Source organism: Homo sapiens, chromosome 17 (genome assembly GCF_000001405.40).
Source record: "Homo sapiens chromosome 17, GRCh38.p14 Primary Assembly".
Taxonomy (NCBI): domain Eukaryota; kingdom Metazoa; phylum Chordata; class Mammalia; order Primates; family Hominidae; genus Homo; species Homo sapiens.
Window position 1 is genome coordinate 50,399,043 of NC_000017.11, and position 7,601 is coordinate 50,406,643.

The following is a 7,601-nucleotide window of genomic DNA, read 5'->3' on the forward strand; positions in this document are numbered from 1 at the left end:
CCCAAGATGGTGGCGGGCCACTTCCAAGATGGCGGCAAGCCTCTTGTTCTCTGACCTGGGTTTCTTGGCCTCACGCATTCCAAGGAATGGAATCTTGGGCCATGCAATGAGTGTTATAGCTCTATTCAGCTCAATTAGGACAAATCCAGGCACTTAGCCACGCAGGAACAATGGCAAGCCTTTAGCCTGATCCAGAGCAGCAATGGGCGCCTCACTGGATCGGGAGCCCAGCAGACACCCTGCCAGATCCAGAGGGGTGGAAGTCAGCAGCGGGTCTGCGACAGCAGCAAACAGCAGTAGTGGACGGTAAGGAAAAGCTCAGCTCAAGCCGTAACAAACACGGACCAGAAAAGTGTGCAGTTGCAAGATTTAATAGAGTGAAAACAGAGCTCCCATAAAATGGCAGGGGACCCAAAGGGGGTTGCTGTTGCCGGCTCGAATGCCTGGGTTTATATCCCGATCATTGTCCCTCCTCCTGTGCTCTCAGGCGATAGATGATTGGCTATTTCTTTACCTCCTGTTTTTGCTTAATTAGCATTTCAGTGAGCTCTCTTTACTACCTGATTGATCAGGTGCGAGCTAAGTTGCAAGCCCCATGTTTAAAGGTGGATGCGGTCACCTTCCCAGCTAGGCTTAGGGATTCTTAGTTGGCTTAGGAAATCCAGCTAGTCCTGTCTCTCAGTGCCCCCCTCAACAGGAAAACCCAAGTGCTGTTGGGGAGGTTGGCCGATGACCGCTCTAACTGCTTCCTGCTAAATTGGGGCATAGTAGGGGTTGTGCAGTTGAGATTTCCTCGGGAGGGTTGCTTTTGATGTCACCAACATCACAGCATGGGCTAGCAGACTGGTCCAGGGGTCCACGGTAGATCTTAGTCATGGACCGCATCTGGGGCTCCATTTAAAGAACCATTTGTAGTTTTACAGCTTCGATTCTGGAACAGACAAACTTAACAAGGAGGTTAAAGATACAGGGATTGAAATGTATGGCCTGTAGTGTAGGGGATTATTTCTTTGGCACACTTCACAGGCCCTGACTATCTACTTGATAGTTTTGAAAAGGCCTGTCTAGTAAATAATAATTTGGCCATCTGATGGGTGCTATCAATGCCTAAGTGAAAGGTTTGGTGAAGGGTTTTAAGCAATTTCCATTGGTTAGCTGCAGGCAAAAGTATTTTTCCTTCTCCAGTGGCTAGTCATCCTGAGGGGAGGAAACTATGTCCTCGTCAGGTTCCCCATTCTATTTCTCCTGCTGAGTACTGGGGCTTGGTTTCCTGGAGGGGATTACCCCATACTAGGGGTTCTTCTATAAGCATTTCTAATGGAGGGTCCCGCCTTGCGGCTCTTTTGGCTTCAATATCCACTTGGCGGTTCCCTTCTATTTCTTCTTTCCTTTCCTTTCCTTTCTGATGACCCCGGTAGTGTAAGACTGCCACCTCTTTAGGTGTCTATACAGCCAATAATAATCTCCTGATGGCTTCCTGATGTTTGATAGGTGTTCCCTTGGAAGTTAGGAATTCACTTTCTCTCCATATTGCTGCATGGGCACGGAGGACTAGGTAAGCATACTTTGAGTCTGTATATATATTTACCCTTTTCCCTTCTCCTAATTCTAGTGTATAATGGCCCCTGCTTTTGCTAGAATGTCTCTCCCTAACAAGGGAGTGGGGCTTTCAGGCATAATTAGAAAAGCATGTGAAAAGAGTAAGTTCCCCAGTCACACCTTAGTGGCTGGGAGAAGTATCTAGTGACTGGCTGTCCTAGGACCCCTCGGATAGTGACAGATCTGGAGGACAGTTGTCCGGGACAGGAGAGTAAGACTGAGAAGGCCACGCCAGTTTCCAGGAGACAGTTAACCTCCTGGCCCTCAATGGTCAAGCATACCCAGGGCTCTGTGAGGGTGATGGCATGGGCTGGCGCTTGCCTCAGGCACCCTCAGTCCTGCTGCTGGATCATCTGGTCAGTGGCTTCTGACTCAGAGGACCTTCGTCCCATGGGGCAGTGGGCCTTCCAGTGATTCCCTTGACATAAGGGGCATCGACAAGGGGTGGCTTATTTCTATTTGGACAATCTTTTTTTTTTTTTTTTTTTTTTTTGAGACAGAGTCTCACTCTTTTGCCTAGGCTGGAGTGCAGTGGCGTGATCTCGGCCCACTGCAAGCTCCGCCTCCTGGGTTCACGCCATTCTCTTGCCTCAGCCTCCTGAGTAGCTGGGACTACAGGCACCCACCACCGCGCCCAGCTAATTTTTTGTATTTTTAGTAGAGATGGAGTTTCACCGTGTTAGCCAGGATGGTCTCGATCTCCTGACCTCGTGATCTGCCCGCCTCGGCCTCCCAAAGTGCTGGGATTACAGGCGTGAGCCACCGCGCCCGGCCTTGGACAATCTTTTTTAAAGTGTCCTTGCAGGCCGCACTGGAAGCAAGCCCTATTAGGCATTCGATTTGCTCAGCCTTTCCATGTTCCAGAGCCTCCAAGGTCCGCTTGCCTGAGGACCATGACTAAAGCGGTGGCCTTTTTCTTATCTCATTTGTCCTGTTCTGCCTGTTCCTCCTTATCTCTATTATAAAAAAACCGAAGTTGCCAAGTTCAATAGGGTTTCTAAATTTTGCTCCGGGCCTAAGGTGGACTTCCGAAGTTTTTTTTTTAATGTCTGCAGCTGACTGAGTGATAAACTTATCAAGATTAGTTGGCCTTCAATAGAATCAGGTGACAGAGAGGTATGCTTCCTCAATGCCTCCCTTAGTCTCTCCAGAAAGGCAGTAGGATTTTCTTCCTTTCCCTGTGTTATGGTGGACATCACTGAATAATTCATAGGCTTCTTCCTAGTTTCCTTAGTCCTTCTATCTAGCACGCCAGTTAGTAAATGTCTGTGGCACCAATCTCTATGTTGTGATTCTGCATCCCAATGAGGGTCTACACTGGGAACTGCCTGCTGGCCTGTGGGAAATCGTTCTCTTTCCTCTGTTGTCATCCTATCATTGACCTGACTGAGATACCAGATATCGCCAAACTCTCGGGCTGCAGTTATGGCGGCACTTCTCTCATTTGTGGTTAGTGTCCGATCTAGCGGTAACATTATATCTCTCCATGTCAGAACAAAGGATTGTCTTAACCCTTGTAAAACATCAATATAGCCATCAGGGTTATCTGAGAATTTACCTAGGTCTATTTTTTTTTTTTAAGACGGAGTCGCACTCTGTTGCCCAGGCTGGAGTGCAGTGGCATGATCTCGGCTCACTGCAACCTCTGCCTCCTGGGTTCACGCCATTCTCCTGACTCAGCCTCCCGAGTAGCTGGGACTACAGGTGCCCGCCACCACGCCTGGCTATTTTTTTTTTTTTTGTATTTTTAGTAGAGATGGGGTTTCATCGTGTTAGCCAGGATGGTCTCAGTCTCCTGACCTCGTGATCTGCCTGCCTCAGCCTCCCAAAGTGCTGGGATTACAGGCGTGAGCCACCGCGCCCAGCCTTACCTAGGTCTATTTTAATTTGCTTCAAGTCTGACAGGGAAAAAGGTACATACACTCTGACTGGGCCGAATTCTCCAGAATACATCTTAGGGGCATTTTTGCCTTGGGGGGAATGTTTCCCATCTGAAAAAAAAAATAGAGATGCCAGCACCCCTAGTGATTTTCCCATAAGCATTAGTCCTAGAGGGTGCTCTATGGTCCTAATGCTTATTCCTTTCCAGGGTGCATAACCACCCATGGACTTCTGCTTATCGGATTAGTTATGCTCACCGATGTAGCAGTCCTGCACCCCTTTTCCCGAGCACAAAGAAAGGGGTCCGAGCTGCTGGATTCTAGTGGTCCTTTACCAGCGTGCCCAACATTGCCTTCATGCTCAGAGGTGAGTTCTAGAGCTGGGCTGAGTTCTTGAGTATTTCCTAACAACCCAGCTGCCCCATCAAGATGCATCCCCATAAACAACAGTTCTTATGCAAATTCGCTTCAGAGAGGGTGTAGGTAACCTTTTGAGTCAGGATTGAGATAGAGTCTTTTTGATTCTGTAAGTACTTTAAGGCTTGGCTGAGTGCAAACAGCTCCCACGTTTGAGCAGACCAATTATTAGGCAATTCTTCTAACTCTGCTTCCACAAGAGTCTCCCTATCAATTACTGAATACCCATTGTGTTTTTTCCTCAATCACCTGGGAGGAGCCATCTATCATTCTTTTCTGAAGGGAGTTCCTTCTAGGTCTGGTCGGACCTTTGTATGGTAATTAAGATTTAAATTCCCTGTTAGGAAATCTGCTGGGTTAAGGGAATTTTCAGTGGTTAGTGTTAAATTACCTTTTTCTAACAGAATAGCCCCATACTTTAAGATTTTTGAGTTAGTAAGCTACCTTTTTGCTTTTTTGACTTAGAATAATTCTGAACTGGTGAGGTGTGCTCACAATGAGGATTCCTCAAAAGGCTACTTTTCTAGGCTGGGCACAGTGGCTCACGCCCGTAATCTCAACACTTTGGAAGGCCGAGGTGGGTGGATCATGAGGTCAGGAGATCAAGACCATCCTGCCTAACACGGTGAAACCCCATCTCTACTAAAAATACAAAAAAAAAAAAAAAATTAGCTGGGCATGGTGGCGGGCGCCTGTAGTCCCAGCTACTCAGGAGGCTGAGGCAGGAGAATGGCGTGAACCCGGGAGGTGGAGCTGGCAGTGAGCCGAGATCACGCCACTGCACTCCAGCCTGGGCGACAGTGAGAATCCGTCTCAAAAAAAAAAAAAGTTACTTTTCACTTTCTTCTCTTAGCAAAGCAGTTGCTGCTACAGACTGAATGCATTTGGGCCATCCATTGGTTCCTGGATCTCAGTGCTTTCAGGCTACGCCCTTGTTTACACTGACAACAAGGCAGTATTGGAGTGTTATAGGGTCACAGAGAAGACCTTCAATTATCAATTATAGGTTTTAAATTTACCCTGGCTTTTAAAGGAATAGGGCACACTGTTTTTTCTTTACTACATCTATCTCTCTTTTTCTCTCTCTCCCTCTCTTTTTTCTATCTGTCTCTCTCTGTCTCTTCTCTCCTTGACTTACTCAATTCGCTTTCATCCTGATCTATTATGTTGTCGTAGACCCAGTTCCAGTTGTTAACGTACTGGGTCATCAGTTCTAAGGCCCTGGCCAAGGAGCCAAGGCTTGGAGATTGCATTGCAGAGGGATAAGCTGGGTAGAAATTGGGGGAGGAGAGCATCTTACACAATGGGAGAGCAATCCTCCTAGCCATTTACAAACTTGGGGCCCTGGCAAGGGTGTTGGGGAATGGGTCCCACCTAACTGCCCATGTCGAGAGCTGTATGCCTAAATTGGGAGGTACATCAGGGACAAGACTCCCTGGGTTCATATTCTAGATGCCTAAGGACACAGCATAGAGCTTCCTTAGATCCCTTTGGAGATACAACCTGCTCTAATACTTGGGAGAGGAAGTGAAAGTCTGAAGCATTAGACCTAGGAGGCAGGGATCAGAGGAAGTAGATTCAGAGGTAAGGAGAATTTTGGGGCTACACTTTCAAGAAAGTCATGGTCGGGACCCAGGAGGTATGGGTCAGAAGGAAAGGTAGGGGCGCACGCATGGGTGACTGTTGAGCAGAGACTTCTGGCTGCACCATGATCTCAACTGGCTAACCCCGGGAGTTCGGGAAGACAGCTTTCTGTCTCTAGTCAGCCCTCAGCTTCCCCAGGAAAATTGAAAGCGGAAGCTGGTTCCAGGCAGACCAACACTTCTAACCCAGAAGGGTTGGGGTTGTTAGAAAGCCCTTTCCAAGACAGCCTTATACCTGAGTCTTAAGTGAGGCGGCCACGCTAATCGTTTTTAACTGGCCGACAGATGCCCAGTATTTTCCTCCAATTCTAAGGAAGGATAGGACAGAATAGCAAGTGAAAGTGGTCCAATATTACTGCTTTGGAGGTCCCTTCATGGTTGCCAATATCTTACCAGGGGGTCCTTGTTCTTAGAGCTCCCAAGATGGTGGCAGGCTGCTTCCGAGATGGTGGCAGGCTGCTTCCAAGATGGCGGCAAGCCTCTTGTTCTCTGACCTGGGATTCTTGGCCTCATGCATTCCAAGGAATGGAATCTTGGGCCATGCAGTGAGTGTTATAGCTCTCTTCAGCTCGATTAGGATGAACCTGGGCACTTAGCCGTGGAGGAACAATAGCAAGCCTTTAGCCCAATCGGGAGCGGCAGTGGGCACCTTGCTGGATCAGGAGCACAGCGGACACTCTGCCGGATCTGGAGGGGTGGAAGTCAGCAGCAGGTCTGTGACAGTGGCAAACAGCAGTGGTGGACAGCAAGTGAAAGCTCAGCTCAAGCTGTAACAAACATGGACCAGAACATTGTGCAGTTGCAAGATTTAATAGAGTGAAAACAGAGCTCCCATAAAATGGAAGGGGACCCAAAGGGGGTTACTGTTGCCAGCTTGAATGCCTGGGTTTATATCCCGATCATTGTCCCTCCTCCTGTGCTCTCAGGTGATAGATTATTGGCTATTACTTTACCTCCTGTTTTTGCCTACTTAGCATTTTACTGAGCTCTCTTTACTACCTGATTGGTTGGGTGTGAGCTAAGTTGCAAGCCCCATGTTTAAAGGTGGATGCGGTCACCTTCCCAGTTAGGCTTAGGGATTCTTAGTCGGCCTAGGAAATCCAGCTAGTCCTGCCTCTCTCTCACAATGGCCTACTCCTTATTTATCAAATCCCCGCTGTGCACACCCCAACCCGTCGCCAGCAAGGCACTGTGCTGGGCTTCTGGGAAACAGACAAGGGCAATTGGATAATACATACATTAGCATTTGGCAATCTCTAAATCCTTGAGCATCCATTATCTTATTTTGATAATGTACATGAGGAGACAGTGAGGCACATTTCATCGTACTCCCTCTCTTAAGGAGGAAGAAACCAAAGCTCAGAGAGGAAAAGTCACTTGTTCTCAGCCACACCTTTGGTTGAGGGGCAGACTTTTTTATTCCAAATCCTGTTTCTTTTCACTACACCCTATTTTTCCTACCATGAAGGAGCCTACAGTCCATGCAAATAATTATTATAAAAGGTAAAAGGATAAGTGCCTGAACACATAGAGATGAGATCTGTGCATGAATATGTAGTGCTGTGTGTGTGTGATAACATCAGGTTGACAGGTGCAAAAACATTATTTGTGCCTCAGACTGTGCTTTACATATATTATGTCTTTTAACTCGGCCTTCACAACAGACTTATAAGGCAGACATTATTTCAGTTTTACAGGTGAAGTGATTGAGGTTCAAAAAGGTCAACTATTTAATGACAATCACAGCAGGAAAGTGAATGCATTCCAAGAAAGGTGGGTGCAAACCCAGCATGGTGGGGAGGAGCCTGTACGGAAGAGAGAAATCAGAAAAGGCACCATGGAGAAGGTGGCATTTAGGTTGGGCTTTGAAGGATGGATGAGGTCCAGACAGGTAGAGATGCAGCCCAGGGAAGCAGAGAGGCAGAGCAAGGAACTGACCACAGGTACTGACTTTGGGGAAGATTTCTTTAAATCTCTTAGGCTAGAGCCCTGCAGCTTTGTGAGAAAGTGAAGCCTGTCGTCTGTTGGCAGCCTTTTTCTTGGAAACAACAGGCTGGCCCTA